This window comes from Homo sapiens, chromosome 4 (genome assembly GCF_000001405.40).
Source record: "Homo sapiens chromosome 4, GRCh38.p14 Primary Assembly".
Taxonomy (NCBI): Eukaryota; Metazoa; Chordata; class Mammalia; order Primates; family Hominidae; genus Homo; species Homo sapiens.
In genome coordinates, this window is record NC_000004.12 from 177442962 (window position 1) to 177460171 (window position 17210).

General features: G+C 39.8%; 1 long non-coding RNA gene and 1 pseudogene across 25 annotated transcripts in view, besides 1 other annotated feature; one reads left to right on the forward strand and one right to left on the reverse strand.

Annotated features, from left to right (window-relative positions):
- Positions 1-17210, forward strand: part of AGA-DT (AGA divergent transcript) — a 255397-nt gene that overhangs the window by 448 nt on the left and 237739 nt on the right. For 12 of the 25 annotated variants that reach the window (NR_183778.1, NR_183779.1, NR_183789.1 and 9 more), the window contains exon 1: positions 2049-2482. The exons of 3 other annotated variants lie outside the window; for them this stretch is intronic. This is a non-coding gene — a long non-coding RNA (AGA divergent transcript). Of the gene's footprint in view, positions 1-2048; positions 2483-8513; positions 8630-17210 lie in introns of those variants that run through there. 10 more of the 25 variants (NR_183777.1, NR_183780.1, NR_183788.1 and 7 more) reach the window with 2 other exon arrangements.
- Positions 62-141: an enhancer, noted in NCBI's record as "active region_22171". NCBI's record gives its function as "activates an Ori minimal core promoter by ATAC-STARR-seq in GM12878 lymphoblastoid cells {active_cell/tissue: GM12878}" and the evidence as "EXISTENCE:reporter gene assay evidence [ECO:0000049][PMID:35858748]".
- On the reverse strand, positions 14178-14267 carry RNA5SP172 (RNA, 5S ribosomal pseudogene 172; annotated as a pseudogene).

Genomic DNA, 17210 nt, shown 5'->3' on the forward strand with positions numbered 1-17210 from the left:
TAAATCCCTGAGCTGGAAGAAAAACAGAAACGGCCTATGTACCCTCTACCTAGCACACTGAAGTGCAGCTTCCTGCACCTCCAGGGCAAGACGGCTACCTCCATTCCTTTTTAAATGTATTTTTACCTTCCTGCCTGGCACTATTAAGTGCTAAATAAATGAATAAGAGGAGGAATGGGGATTTTACGTGCTTGGTGGAGGCTGCTCAGTTTTGTTGCTGGGCAGACGTGCGAACATGAACTAATAATCCCTTTGGGTGTCTGGAATGCCTGCCCAGGTTGCCAAGGCAAGACACATAATCACATAATTTTTAAAAGCATCTATAAATCTATACAAACTTTAAAAATATGAACTAGGCTGGGCACGATGGCTCACGCCTGTAATCCCAACACTTTGGGATGCTGAGGTGGGTGGATCACGAGGTCAGGAGTTCGAGACCAGCCTGGCCAACATAGTGAAACCCGTCTCTACTAAAAATACAAAAATTAGCCGGGCGTGGTGGTGCATGCCTGTAGTCCCAACTACTTGGGAGGCTGAGGCAGAATTGCTTGAAGCCGGGAGGTGGAGATTGTGGTGAGCCGAGATCGCACCACTTCACTCCAGCCTGGACAACAGAGTGAGATTCTGTCTCAAAAATAAATAAATAAATAAATGTAAAAATATAAACTAGGTAGGAGTTGTGAGACTTACAAAACCTTCAAGGCTCTTATTGATTGCTAGGAAATTAAATACATAATTTAAAGAACATAAGATAGCCCAGAAGTATCATTATCCCGTTGGGGAAGTGTTAATTAAAAGATATAATAAAGACAAATTTTCTAAGTTCCTTTCATGGGGTTTGGAAGAGGAACAAGTCATCTGTGCTGGAGTAATCATAACCCAATGGCAGGTGAAACTGGAAACTTGGGTGAAACAGGGTAAGAAAGCCAGAAAAACATACATTGTCCTCTGAGTAAATTTTCCTTAGCTCCTGGGCTGAGTATTTTTATGCAGCCTTAAGGAATTAGGACATGCCTTTAGCAAAAATTGTAAAATACAATACATGGAAAATTGGTCTTAGTACCCCACTGATCTCTCTAGCCTCTTCCTGTTTTTTAAGGTATTTGTGTTTCTTCTGGTGGAAAGAGCCTGATCTGTTACCTCCTACTATGTCTATTTCTCCAAATTCTTTCTTCTTAAATAAAAATTCCTGTCAGAGAAACAGCTAAATTACACTATAGTGGGAATGGCTGATAGAAGGTCTCAATATATCAACTTTTCCATGGATATTTGTATGTATGTATGTATGTATGTATTTATTTTTTGAGATGGAGTCTTGCTCTATCGCCCAGGCTGGAGTTCACTGGTGTAATCTCAGCTCACTGCAACCTCCACCTCCTGCATTCAAGCGATTCTCTTGCCCCAGCCTCCTGAGTAGCTGGGATTGCTACTGCCTACTACCATGCCCGGCTAATTTTTGTATTTTAAGTAGAGACAGGTTTTGCCATTTTGGCCAGGTTGGTCTTGAACTCCTGACACAGGTGATCCACCCACCGCCCCCACCCCCCCGACCTCCCAAAATGCTGGGATTACAGGTGTGAGCCACCGTGCCCAGCCGGATATTTGTATTTAAATAACTAATATGCAATCCCTATAGAATCTACCCGATTCAGTGTCTTCTTAGTGGCTACTAAAATACCTACTGGATCCACTGTCCAGTTTGCCTAAATTGTAGCTGTTTCTTAAGTTAAATTCGTCTGGATATTTGGTTCCTTCTGGAGTAGTTTTCCTTTGACTAACACTTGAAGAATAATTTTCATTTTAGTTCTAGAAGTAACCTTCTGTTACTCTCACTTAGGTGCTCTTTTGGGCCTAAATATAATTAGATCCTTCGCCGTTGTTTTGAGGTAAATCTAAACGAAAAGGAACACCTGTTAACAGGTAGTGATGCCGCAGGAAAGTGCTGGGAAGGGAATGCTGGGAAGGGAAGGGCGTGGTCCCTTTAAATGATAAGGAAGGGGGGCGGGAAGTGCTGGGTAGAGGAGGGCGTGGTCCCCAGCTAGGGCTTCATCCCTGGGCCTGGGCCTACCTAGGTGAAGACAGGCATTTTTGTTTTCCTGCCCGGATGTTGCATTTCCCAAGACCACCCTGGCCTGCCATGCCCTCATCCTGTGCCTTTAAAAACCCCCGAGACCCTGGCAGGCAGACGCACAAGCAGCTGGACATTGAGAGGAGCATATAGGCAGAGAATACAGGGGCTGCTGGATGTCGAAAGGAACGCACCAGCATAGGAGCACACCGGCATGCTGGCAGGCCATTGACCAGCGGAAGAATGCAGAGTTTGTCGCGGGAGGTCAGAGAAGAGTCAGGCCGCCATACCTGACTCCAGGAGAAAACCGTCTCCCTTCTGGTTCCCCCGTCTGCCGAGAGCTACTTCCACTCAATAAAACTTTCCACTCATTCTTCAAGCCCACGTGTGATCCAATTCTTCCCGTACACCAAGGTAAGAACCCGGGATACAGAAAGCCCTCTGTCTTTGCGATAAGGCAGGGGTCTAATTGAGCTAACACAAGCCGCCTACAGACGGTTAAACTAAAAGAGCACCCTGTAACACATGCCCACTGGGGCTTCAGCTGTAAACATTCACACCTAGACACTGCTGTGGGGTCAGAGCCTCACAATCTGCCCGTCTGTATGCCCCTATAGAGGTTTGAGCAGCAGGACACTGAAGAAGCGAGCCACACCCCCATCACACGCCCTGCAAGGGCGACAAGGGAACTTTTCCTGTTTCAGTAGTAGACCGTAAAATAAATGATCCTCAGTTTTTCCAGCATCCTCTCCAATTTTTCATTCTTTTAAATCATTATACACAGGGCAGAGATATTTAGTGTTACTGATAAATCAAAGGAACTATTTGTAAAAGTATTTTTATTTAAATTTAGAATGCATTACACAATTTTGTTTGGCAAAATGTTTCTGTTCCTAAGTAGAGCTTACTTATAACTAGCAATACTTCAGGAGGATTTTCCAGACTTAGATTTTAAAACTTAGGGTGTGGCCAGGCCTAGTGGCTCATGTCCATAATCCTGGCACTTTGGGAGGCTGAGGTGGGTGGATGGCTTGAGCCCAAGAGTTTGAGACCAGCCTGGGCAACATAGCGAGATTCCTGTCTCTATTAAAAAAAAAATTAAAAAAAGGTGACTGTGTATCAGCTGTGGTTAACTCATGTAAGCTTCCTAAGCCATGCTTTTCTCATCTATAAAATGGAGATAATAATAGTATTCTTTCTTATTTTACAAAGCTTTGTGAATGAGGTAGGAGATGTGGGAGAATGGTGTAATACCAGGCAAATTAAATAAAATTCTCTTATTCTAATTTGCCATTCCCAAGTACCTATAATTGATGTCAAGGAGGCAGTCCAGAAACATACAAGGCAGTAAAAAGAAATCAATTTGATCAATTTGAGACACAGAAATTTCCACAGGAAGAATAAAGAGTTGGCCCAATACCTATAATGCATTTGAAAGTAATCACTTAGAATTTCCTTGAATATATTAAATGAGAATTAAAAATAATGTTTTTAGTTTACTTGGAGCTGCCTGAAATTTGGTTTGAATGCTTATAAAGATGGTGCATGGCAGGACTGTGAGATTTCTGGATGTCTTAAAAACAACACCCTTAAGTCTTAACAAGGGGAAAGCCTCAAATGGAATCTTAAGTGATGTTGCAAATAGAGCCTTTGTGTGTTTGTGTTTGTGTATGTGTGTGTGTTGGAGGTGGGTGGAGGAGTTTCAGACCGCTGCAGGCTCTCTTATTTCCTCTAAACTTCATGGCTTTCAATTTATCAGTCTCAGAAGGATGAAGAGTTGAGTCCCTCCTGATAGCATTTGAAGCTGTGGTTCCACAGAGGATTTAATGCTGTAGTTGCAGGGAGTCTAGGTATTTCAATTCTGAGGCTTAAAAAACTAAGCCATCCCCTCCGGCTTTTGCACTGATGCTGTGAAATCCATTTGAGAAACATGTCCATGTTTTGCTACTTGTTCAAAGCTGTAAGCCTGACTTGGCATTGAAATGATAATTTCTTTTTCAAAACTCCCCACTGAACTATTACCTAGGTTATCTAAATATAGGCTATTTACTTGATTGGCATTTGCTCCTGTCAGTTTCATAAACTGTAAGTAATGATTTTTGCTGATGTTAGAGCATTGTGGTACTGTGTTTCTAATTTAAATCAATGTCTACATTAATCTGGGAACATTTGATGTTACTACCTGATTGTACATTCTGGATGTAATTAGAGTCATTATACAGAAATAAGTGTCATCCTCTTATTCTCTAAATGAGAAAAGAGAGCATTCTTCTCTTCTGAAATAATTTTTCTGGGTCATGCCCCCAAAACCATTTGTCAAATCAATAGCAGATTCTAATCACAAACTTTTTTGACTTTTTAACCTTTAAAAGTCATCTTAGTGACTTATAAAGACCAAGATTGTGCAGTAGAATGTGGGCCTATTAAGTTATTTCTTATCAAAATAAATTATGTACAACATATTTTCAATGTGTAATTGTAATACTGGGCCACTGCTGTGATATAGTTTTCATAACAAGGACATAGTAGACTATTAAACATGGTGGATCTTGCTTTTTGTGACAGTTGTTTATAACATTATGATGTCATCATAAATGTGATCCATTACAATAGTAAAGCCTTAGGGCAACAGAGTAGATGTCAGGATGTCTTCCTACCACTTAAAAAATGACTTTGACATTGTTAAGGTAGTGTGACAGATGATTTCAATAAAGAAATTCAACAATAAAAGCAAACTTCTAAACTAACAGTGACTTACAGGAAGTACATTATGCATTTAAAATGATATCTACTTGTCGATCATGACAATGAGTATTAGAAAACTATCCAAATAATGAACACATGTATCCTGTGTGTAGCTACACAAATAGTCTGTTAATTCTCAATCATTCATATAAAAATATGAAAGGAAAGATTTTCACATAACATAGCTTATTTTTTTCATTTTTTAGAAACACTTTTGTGTCCTTCAAATATCTCTGAAATACTCTAGCTCTTGTTGAAAATCACCAGCCTCTTAACATTTTGATATGTATCTGTTTGGTGAAAAATCTTGGTATTATACACACTGTTGTAGAACCTGCTTTTTTATTTAATATCTCTTTGACCTCTGCATATCATTAAAATTTATGCTTTTTAAAAACCTTCATTGTGCAATGTAAATACAGTAAAGGACATAAAATGTAAATAAATAGATTAAATAATTTTGTAGAAAATGAACAGCTATGTAATCACCACTTATATAAACAAACAGAATATTGTCAGTACCCCAGAAAACCGCTAAGGACCTCTATAACATGTTCTCTGAAGATTTAAAAAAATTTTATTTAATTTTTTATTTTTATAGATACGGGGTATAAGTGTAGTTGTGTTATATGTATATATTGAGTAACGGTGACGTCTGGGCTTTTAGTGTACCCATCACCCAAACAGGATACATTGCACCCAAAAGGTAGTATTTCATTCCTCACCCCCTCCTTCCCTCCTACCTTTTGGAGTCTTCTGTTATTCCACTCTAAATGTCTGTGTGTACTCATTGTTTAGCTCCCACTTACGAATGAAAACATCCAGTTTTTTACTTTCTGTTTCTGAGTTATTTCACTAAGGATAATGGCCTTCGGTTCCATTAACATTGCTGCAAACGACATGATTTCATTCATTTTTATGGATGAGTAGTATTCCATGGTGTGTGTGTGTATATATACATATATCACATTTTTAATCCAGTTGTTTGCTGATGGACATTTAGGTTGATTCCATGACTTTGCTATTGTGAATAGTGTTGTGATAAACATTTGAGTGCAGGTGTCTTTTTGATAAAATGCTTTCTTTCCCTTTGGTTAGATACCCAGTAGTGGGATTGCTGGATCGAAGGGTAGATCTATTTTTAGTTCTTTGAGAAATCTCCATGCTGTTTTCCATAGAGATTATACTAATTTACATTCCCACCAACTGTGTATAAGTGTTTCTTTTTCTACACATCCTTGCCAACATCTGCTGTTTCTTGCTTTTTTAGTAATAGCCATTCTGACTGGTATGAGATGGTATCTCATTGTGGTTTTAAATTGCATTTTTCTGATGATTACTGATGCTGAACATTTTTTTCATATGGTTGTTTGCCACTTGTATGTCTTCTTTTGAAAAATATGTGTTCATGTCTTTGCCTACTCTTTAATGGGGTTATTTGTTGTTTTTGTCATTGTATTGTTTGATTTCTTCCTAAATTCTGGATATTAGTCCTTTGCCAGATGCATTGTTTCCAAATATTTTCTCCCATTCTGAAGGTTGTGTGTTTACTCTGTTGATTACTTCTTTTGCTGTGCAGAAGCCTTTAGGTTTAATGAAGTCCCATTAGTCTATTTTTGGTTTTGTCACATTTCCTTTTGAGGACCTAGTGATAAGTTCTTTGCCTAGACCAATGTCCAAAAGAGTTTTTCCTAGATTTTATGATTTTATTCTAGAATTTTTATAGTTTCAGGTCTTACATTTAAGTTGAAGACTTTATTTCTTAAGAACAATTTTTGGTTCACAGCAAAATTGAGCAGAAAGTACAAAATATACCCCTGCCCCCACACATGATAGCCTTCCCACCAGAGTGGCACATTTGTTACACTTGATGAACAAATTCTACACATCATTATCATTCCACATCCATAGTTCATATTTTTTTTTTTTTGAGACGGAATCTTGCTGTGTTGCCCAGGCTGGAGTGCAGTGGCGCCATCTCGGCTCACTGCAAGCTCCGCCTCCTGGGTTCACGCCATCCTCCTGCCTCAGCCGCCCGAGTAGCTGGGACTACAGGCACCCACCACCAGGCCCAGCTAATTTTTTGTATTTTTAGTAGAGACAGGGTTTCACTGCGTTAGCGGTGGTCTTGATCTCGTGACCTCATGGCACATTTGTTACAGTTGATGAACAAATTGTACACATCATTATCATTCCACATCCATAATTCATATTAAGGTTCACACTTGGTATTATACATTCTGTGGGTTTGACAAATGTATACTGGCATATATTCCATTAGAGTATTGCAAGAATCCTCTACTCCATCTATTCATCCCTCCCTCCCCTCTAACTCATGGCAACCAACTGACCTTTTTACTGTCTCCATGGTTTTTGCCTTTTCTGGAAGGTCATTTAGTTGGAATTGTGCAGTATGGAGACTTTTTTAGATTGGCTTCTTTCACTTTGTAATACGCATTTAAGGTTCCTCCATGTCTTTTCATGGCTTGATAGCTCATTTTATTTAAGCGCTGAATAATATTCCATTGTCTGGATGTATCACAGTTTATTCATTCTCCTACTGAAGGACATCTTGGCTGCTTCCAAGTTTTGGGAATTATGAATAAAGCTGCTGTAAACATCCATGTGCACCTGGGTGTGGTGGTGCATGTCTGTAATCCTAGTTACTGGGAAGGCTGAGGCATGAGGATTGCTTGAGGCCAGGAGTTAGAGACCAGCCTGAGCAATGCAGCTAGACTCTGTTTCTAAAAAAAAATTTTTTTAAGTTAACTTTGTGGTGGCAACTGCTGCCTGTAGTCCCAGCTATTAAATGGAAGGCTGAGGCAGGAGGATTGCTCAAGCTCAGTGTTTCAAAACTAGAATGAGCTGTTTGCACCACGGCCCTCCAGCCTGGGGCAACACAGTGAGACCTTGTCTCTGAAAAAAAATTCCATGTGCAGATACAATGTAATTTTAAAGGATGTATAAAATCTATTTATGATGCACAGAAATTACTTAACCATTGATTTCTGTTGCTGTAAAAATTTTTGGCTTTGTATACGAAGAATTTTTTCAGAATTAATCTGTCAGATACTATGTTGAGTTTATATGATAGTCAGTAGCAATTAAAATAGCATCACGCTAGATCATGAGTGAAGGTCAGTATTAGGAATTCAGGACTCTGACAAAGCAGAGTTAGCGCTGTCTGTTACTAACACTAAGGTTTCTCAAGAGGGCAGATTTAGAGATTAAGCAGTTCTCCAAATTCAGGACAAATTCAGGGAGTCAGGTGGTTTGAGAGAATGGTATCATAAGAACTCTGATATGAGGAAGCCCCTCATATCAGAGGGGCTTGAGACAGTGTCTTGCTCTGTTGCCCAGGCTGGAATGCAGTGGTCCAATCTTGGCTCAAGATTGAGAGGATTGGCAGTGCATCCTCTGCCTCTTGGGTTCAAGCAACCCTTCCACCTCACCCTCCTGAGCAGCTGGAATCCCAGGCATGGGCCACCACACCCAGCTAATGTAGCTTCTGTGGAAGAGGCTTTTTGATCCTCCTATCATCTTTATAATTTTCTACTAACCACAGAATTGGGTAGCTGTGAAACCACTAACTTTTAATTGCACCCAGAGCTCTGAGGACACTCAGTAGTTTAGGTTCCCTTATTACTGGATGGCCCTTAGAATAAAGGCACAGCTTAAAAATGTTTTTTTTTAATGCCAGGTCTCGCTGTGTTTCCCAGGCTGGGTGCAGTGGCTATTCAAAGGTACAATGATAGCTCACTGCAGCCTGGAACTCCTGGACTCAAGCGATCCTCCTGCCTCAGCTGCGACTAACAGGTATGTACCACCGCACCCAACTCATAAATCATTAAACCCCTTGAATTTCATAGGTTTAGAGTTATGATCATGGTAACTCTGCAATTTTGTATTAGCTTTAAGTGCTTTCGGTTGCAAATAACAGAAAACTTAATGGTGATTTAAAGCGACAAGGCTTTACTTTTTTGCACCTAATAAGAAAGTTGCTGGCATTGGTTCAGTAGCTCTAAACTGTGAGAACTTACTTGCTGCTTTGTTTTCACAAGACAGCTACTGTTGCTCCAGACATACATCCACATTCAAGCTGGGGAAAAGGACAAGGACCTGGTATCAGCCACATCTTTCCCTTTTCATCCAGAAAGCAAAAGCCTTCTCAGACACTCCCAGTAGAATACTGCTTTATTCTCATCATCAGAACGATGCCACCTGGCCTTTTCAATGAAGTCTCCAGTACTCAACAATATTGCTTTCTTTTTTTCAAAAAATTTTGAAGGATCTGGATTTCGCTTCCGGATCAACATAGTATACAGTGGGGCCGGGAGCAGTGGCTCACGCCTGTAATCCCAGCACTTTGTGAGGCCAGACCAGGCAGATCACTTGAGGCCAGGAGTTCGAGACCAGCATGGCCAACATGGCGAAACCCGTGTCTTCTAAAAATACAAAAAATTAGCTGGGTATGGTGGTGCATGCCAGTAATCACAGCTACTCAGGAGGCTGAAGCAGGAGAATTGCTTCAGCCTCTCCCCTCCCCACCCCTCCTCTCCCCGCCTCTCCTTTCCTCTCCTCTCCTCTCCCTTTTCTTTTCAAAAGTATTTATTGGCTGCCATGTGTCAGAGGTTGCCGTGAGCTCAGATCAGGCCACTGCACTCCAGTGTAGGCAATAGAACGAGACTATGTTTCAAAAAACAAACAAAAAAGCCCCCAAACCCCACATGGTATATAATGGGAATAGCACATGCAGAAACAGAAGCTCAGATACTTAGGTGAGCTTGAAAATTTAAGACCTATGTAAATGTCTAGAAACGTTTTAAAGGACTTTGGACTTCAGAAGAGAATAAATTCAGAGTCTAAACCTATCTTATTTAGATCTCAAGGACCAAAGAAGCCTCATTCAACATCAGAATTATGACTGTGGTGCTCAAGGAGAGATAGAAAGGAAAATGACAGTTCTCCATCTGGGAGAAAAAGATGGTTATTTTTCAGAATAAGAGATTAAAGGAACATGGGGGATTAATGCCTGCTAATCTTGATCTTCTCTAAGAGTAGTAAAAATCACCTGCCAAGATTACAACAGATTTGAAATCGAATTGGTGACTAGAAATTGGTGAAGCATTTTAAAAGATTTATTATGGAAAGTCTTATGAAGATGGGCAATAACTGAACAAAAAAGATTGTGAAACATGAATGGGGGTCCATTTGAATCAAGTAGCCTAACATTGCTGAATCCTAGTTAATCACAGTCTTTTGCCTTTCTTCAGTATCATTTTAAAACACCTAAGTTATAACACTAAAAGTGAGGGTTATCCCTTACTGTAGAGGGAGTCTAGTTGGTTGATGGGAAATCTATTGGTATTGCTGATAATGACAAAGTGCAGGCTGGAGTTGGAAAATAAGGAGTTTGTAATAAATGATAACAGCCCTTTTCATATACCACTAACATTGTATTCTAGGCTTCAAAGGTAGGTTCAACCACAAATTGAAGAGGGTGTCTTGCAATATAAGGGTGACTTAGCCTTAGAAACCCTAACAATTGTTGCTTTTCATTTGCCTTCCTTTTTTCCTTACTTCTTTTTCCCTCCCTGCCTCTTCCTTCCTCCCTTCTCTTTTACTTTTTCCTCTCCCCTTCCCTACTCTCCCCTCCCCTCCCCTCCCCTGCTCTCCCCTCCCCTCCCCTGCTCTCCCCTCCCCTCCCTTCCTCTGCTCTCCTCTCCTTTCCCTTTTCTTTTCACAAGTATTTATTGGTTGCCTACCATGTATCAGGCATGTTTTTAGGTGTTGTGGATATAGTAGTGAATAAAACAGACAAAATTCCTACTCTGATGGAACTTACCTAAGCTACTAAACAAATGCATAGTAAGAGTTTAGAACTCATGGAGGAAATTGAAGCAGCATAATGGAATTGCTGAGGTGCGATGCTCATGGTGAGGTGATGAGAAGTGGATTTTTTTTGTTTTGTTGTTTTTTTATTTTTGTTGTCGTTGTTTTTGTTTGAGATGAAGTTTTGCTCTTATAGCCCAGGCTGGAGTACAGTGGCACGATCTCGGCTCACTGCAACCTCTGCCTCCCTGGTTCATGCGATTCTTCTGCCTCAGCCTACTGAGTAGCTGGGATTACAGGCGCCCACCACCATGCCTGACTAATTTTTATAGTTTTAGTAGAGACAGGGTTTCGCCATGTTGGCCAGGCTGGACTGGAACTCCTGACCACAGGTGATCCGCCCGCCCTGGCCTCCCAGAATGCTGGGATTACAGGCGTGAGCCACCGCCTGGCCAAGAAGTGGTTTTGAAGGAAGAACCTACAGGGCTTGGTGATGGCTTGGATATGTGGTGTAGAGTAGAGTAAGTGAAGCACCGAACTTTACCTAGTTATGTTGAACAATGTGACTGGACATAGTTTAGGATGAGGAATACATTTTCGGCCTTGGGTACAGAGTGACCTTGGAGTTGATTTAATGAATGTAGTACTCTAGCAGCTTTCTGAGCCTTATGAGACTGAAATCTATATTGTTCACAGTGGACTCAGGAAAATACTCACAGAAGTGATTGCTGGTATTGAGAGAGTAGCTTCATGAAAGTAGGAGTAGGACTCTCCTGCTTGATTATGATATCTTCCTCCAAAGAGGAGAGCCATATCCCTGACTGACCAAGCGTTAATGTTTAAGTCATCTGGAATAAGAAGAAAAGCTGAGGAATGTTAGAGGAAGACACTCCTTATATTTCCTTTCATGTCGAGGGTATTCAGTGAACCACTGTCTTTCTATTCCTTTGCTTTGAGTGGCTTCTTTGATTGATAAATTTTGAAAGACAAAACCGGGCATGCCAGCCTCATCTTTGACCTTGTTCCTGTTGATCCGGAGCTGCTTACAGGGACTGTGTTCTTTGCCTCTGCTTTGTCTTGCCTTGCTGCGTAAATCTGGGGTTGAATGCTAGGAAGTCCATTTGACTCTCGAAGCAAGGGATGGCCTCTGACTTAGCCTTTATTAACTATGAAAGTGGTCTTCAGTCCTCTCTGTGCCACTCCTTAATTTTATATTTCAGTTTACTGAGAACCCTGGTGGGGAAGAGAATTACTCTTTACTGAGTCCCCTAGAGAACCAAGAAGCAGTAAGAGAGTCACACCACTTTCTTCTGTTTCATAGCAGTTTGCAAAACAGAGTCACATGTGTGTTATCATCTATAGCTCCCATTTTTCTGGTGAAGGCATTGAGGTTTATAGAAGTTAAATGACAGGACCAAACCTATAGAAACTAAAAGTAGCAGTGAGATACTATATCTACAGCTCCTTACTACAAATACAATGTTTCTTTCTTCTCACCATGACTACTTTGGAGATACATTAAGGATAAGTTTTCTTTTTGTCACTGGGGTGGTGCATACATGCATCAGAGTTTGAGCAGCAGCATAGGGAATCTCTGTCAAATTGTGAAAATAGAAAACTTGCCACTTTATATTTTCTGGAACCCTTTCACATTCATTCATCCATCTCACATTTGAAACATGTCAGATTTTTCACTGGTATCTGAAATGTATTCAAATATATTTCCTTGAGAATTGCCCTTCACGGAGTGTTTAATTTAAAGTGCTGAATTCTGGTATTAATTTTGTTCTGTTTGTTGACCTGGTGATATTTGTGGTTCAACTAAGATATAATAATATTCCAACAATGTTGAAGAATCTCCACAGCAGCTGCCTTCCAGTCACGTACTTTTTAATTCCTCCACCATAGCAGAATGCGCTATTAATTATTGCAAAATTTTAAAAGTCTCCCGCTTCACAGTGGAAACTCTGTTGCGCTTATTTTAATGTGAAGGAAAATCTAACATGGTGAGTACCCAGGAGAGTCGTTATGGATAGACAGCAGTATAGTATGAATGGCCCTGGAATGTTGCCATGTGGCAGTAAACCCTTATCTCCAGCCAAGACCCATGAACGCAAATAGAAGGAATGTGAATTAGCCGTGGAGGCTGTGCGTTTACTATTAAGAGCAACTGTGCAATCTAGTTTTCAAGACCCGTGCTACCCAAACACATTTTTCTACATTACATAATGTTATCATTTAAATATTGTCATTCAAATGTGAAGACCAGCTGTGCATATCAGGACACAGCTGTCAGGTTGAGGTGCAGATAAGCCATCTGGTGCCTGGTTCTAGGTGGTTAAATTCCAGCTGGGGATTTAACTTCATATCCAGCTGTGATAAAGTAAATTGAAGGCTGCATATTATTCCTCAGAAATCACTCCTTCGGGATAATTCTCAGAAATAAATTTTAACCAGAGGTGGTGTCATTGATTGGTTTTACACTTTCAATTATAGCATTTGCCAGAATAAAACCAAATGAAAAACTGTTCCGTCGTTTCATTTTCTTTGTATGAAATAAAACCAAATAGTTAAAGAGAATGAAGCTTCTTCAGTCTTCTTCAAATTACATCTGTTCAGGGACAATCTGCTGTCAAATTACCTGGGTTCACACATCTCTCTAGATGACAAAAAGAAAAATCAGGTGATCCATAAAAGCTGAGTAGGAGAGCAAAGTGGTAATTATCCTAATTTCCAGAATCATTATGTCTGGAGATATGTGAAATATGAGAAAGCAACACCGTTTTAACAACAGTCGTTTCTTGTGCTTAGACACACCTCTTTCTCGATTTCGAATGTTTTCAAGGAAAGGACGTTAAAATCCTGCCTTGCCCTTTTGTATGTGTGGCTAATCATGGAGTCCAAGAAGGAAAAAAAACCTGAAAAAGTGAGCCTTCTCCACTGTCTTCAGGCATGTTTGTGTATAACTACCCAATTATGGAATTAATCTATATTACTGTTAAACATCTTCAAAGGAGTAGACTTTTACTGTAACTTACTGCAACATTTTAGTGAATACTGTATAGATTATTTTATCTAAAGCAAATAACACTAGGATATATTAAGTAATGAGTGAGATAGAGTTATGGTATATATTATGTATGTTAGCTATCAAATAATTTAGCCAATATACAGGTAAAATGGTTTCTTCTTTCTTTAAAACTAATTTACTTAATTCTGGCTGGGGTGGTGGCTCAGGCCTGTAATCCCAGCACTTTGATAGGCCAAGGTGGGCAGATCACTTGAGGCCAGGAGTTACAGACCAGCCTGGCCAACATGGTGAAACCCCGCCTATAACAAAAATACAAAAAACTAGCCAAGTGTGGGGCACAGGCCTGTAATCCCAGCTGCTTGGGAGGCTGAGGCAGAAAGAATTGCTTGAACGCAGGAGGCGGAGGTTGCAGTGAGCTGAGATCATGCCACTGCACTCCAGCCTGGGTAACAGAGTGAGATTCTGTCTGAAGAAAACAAAAACAAAACTAATTTATGTAATTCTCCCATCCAAGTACTAACCAGGCCCGACCCTGCTTAGCTTCTGAGCTCAGACGAGAGCAGGCATGTTCAGGGTGGTATGGCCATAGACTAATTTATTTAATTCTATCCCACAGCTACTGATTGGAAAACCAACCTTGTATCTCTAGATGGAACTTTCTTCTGGCAGACACAATTGCTAATTTAAATAAACTAAGAAGTGATTGTGGGTGTGTGTAGAGAAATTATTCAGTAAAGACAACATTTTCTTTTCAAAATGTGTTTAGGGAAAATCTTGTAGGAGGAGTATGTGAATCAACGGAATCCAGAGATAAGTATACTAATGCAAACTTCAAATGCAAACCTTCAGATTTGGCAGTTTATTTTCCTTTTGATTCTACATGCAGAACGCTTAAGTTCAGGACTTGTTTCTAAAGGTTTGAGATGTCTAAGATAAACCACTGAAAGTGGTATATTGTCAAAAAAACTGAAGGGAGATTATATTTCTTTTGCGTGTGTTTGTGGAGGGAAGAGAATTTAAACAAATATTTTTTGGAAGCCAGTCATGGTAGCTTATGCTTGTAAGGCTTATGCTTGTAATCCCAGCATTTTGGGAGCACGAGGAGGGATGTTTGCTTGAGGTTAGGAGTTCAAGACCAGCCTGGGCAACATAGTGAGACTGTCTCTACCAAAAATAATAAGAAAATTAGCCAGGTGTGGTGGTGCATGCTTATAGAGACAGCTACTGGGGAGGCTGAGGTAGGAGGATTGCTTGAGACCAGGTATTTGAGGTTACAGTGAACTAGGATCATACCAGAGCACTCCAGCCCGGGTGACAGAATAAGACCCTGTCTCTACAAAAAAAAAAAAGGTTTTTTAGAATTGGCATCAGGATTATACACTAATTAGCAATTTCTCCAAAATATGTTTTAAAAATCTTATTAATACATTGAATACAAAATAAAGAAATCTCCCCTTTAAATTCTATAGGTGCCTGTACTCTACATTCCATTCCCTGGACTAACTGGGGCTAACAGTAGCAATATAAGCAACTTTGTGGAGCACAGAAAGGCAGGCCTTGATTTCACGGAAATTATTAGTCAAAAGTGAGAAACAACAAGGAGAAAACAAGTTTACCAAAATTCTAAATTTACAAAGGTTCTAAACTCCTACTATGCCTCCTGTTTTTAGATTTTAACTGTTGACAGTTGTTAAATTTGAGACTATTTCTCTTCTCATCTAGAATACTTAAAAAATAATTTTTTCATGCTTTTTTTACTACAAGGTTTTGTACATTGAATTGAAGACAATGAAAAACTAAACTGAAAGTTGCTGCTACTTGGTGTTAGAGGTTTCATTACTTGACTGAAAAAAAATTAATTTTACTGAACTCACCATGCCGCTCCAAAGCCCTTCAGTGATGGCAAATAGCCCCTTCTTCCTTACAACAAAAAGGCTGTAACTGGGAGGGAAAGTGTAAGGAAAACCAATTTTCAGCGACTTCGGCTGTTCACTTTATGTGAATTCTCTTTCTTTTGAAAATGGGAGGTGAGCAAGAATCTCCTGAGTTAGTGAATTTTAAAAATACTTGAAGGTAGGCCGGGCACGGTGGCTCACGCCTGTAATCCCAGCACTTTGGGAGGCCAAGGCAGGTGGGTCACCTGAGGTCAGGAGTTCGAGTCCAGCCTGGCCAACATGGTGAAACCCCGTCACTGCTAAAAATACAAAAATTAGCCAGGCGTGGTGGCACACGCCTGTAATCCCAGCTACTCGGGAGGCTGAGGCAGGACAATTACTTGAACCCAGGAGGCGGAGGTTGCATGAGCCGAGATCGCACCATTGCACTCCAGTCTGGGTGACAAAAGCGAAACTCCGTCTCGAAAAAAAAAGAAAAAAATAAAAATACTTGAGGATAAATATATAATATAATCCCTGTATGGGAAAATGTAAGGGAAAAATGGGGAATGGTGGAAAGTACCCAAGTCAATTAGTGTTCATATTAAGGGACAGGTTGAAGAGTCAGACCTTCTACAATAAAAAAGAGGTTTTTGGCTTATTTTTCATTTTCCTGACTCTGCCATGAGTTTTGGTTTCCCTCTAGGAGATGTGAGGAGCCTAAATATGTCAATATGTCATGTATGTATACAATAACATCATGACGATGAACAGCTACCACATATTGTGTACTTACCAAGAACCTAGTACTATCCTGAGTATTTCATGTGTTAACTTATTTAATCCTCTCACTATTATTATCCATGCTTTATAGGCGAGGAAAAGAAACCCAGAAAGGTTAAGCAACTTGTCCAAATTCTCCCAAATAGTACAGCTAGCATACCAACCCATAATATCTAATTCCAGAAACCACATTATTTTCTTTTAAATTATACTTCTTCCAAACTAATAGGTCATGTTATATTACATAATAACATCCGATTGTGTCTCATAAACAACTAAGACTCAGAATGTACCCACACACCACCCACCTGCACTCTTTCTCCTTAAACAACCAACCAAAGAAATGATTATGTTGAGGATATTTTAAATATGCTAGATTAGTAATCCTCTCATTATTTTTCTTTAAGTAAAATAATTTAAGGAAAGTAACTTGAAGATGATGAAGTGAAAGGCAACAGAATAATTTAGCTTCTAAAATGGGTATTAGAGTACAGAGAACTTAAGCAGCTTTGACTTTAAGAGGGTTACCTAAATTGTAATCAAATGCATTTCAAAAATCCCAAACAGCAAAGGACAAAGTTTCCATATCCATATATACCCTGAAGACAGGACAAGAAGAATTTTGCTCAACAGGTAGGTTTAGTTTAGACATAAATAAATCTTTCCAGGACTCTGTGACCTAAATCAAAGCCATAGAGAATCACTTGGTCACTGTTATCACAACTCATGTACCTGTTAAGGTCAATACTGTATCACTAACATTTCTTCCACCTCTATAATTTTATTGAACCTAACCAACAGTCAAGGTAGATGCTCTGTCCCCCTACTATTCAAACTGATATGACTTGATTATAAGGGCTGTGATACAAATAACTGC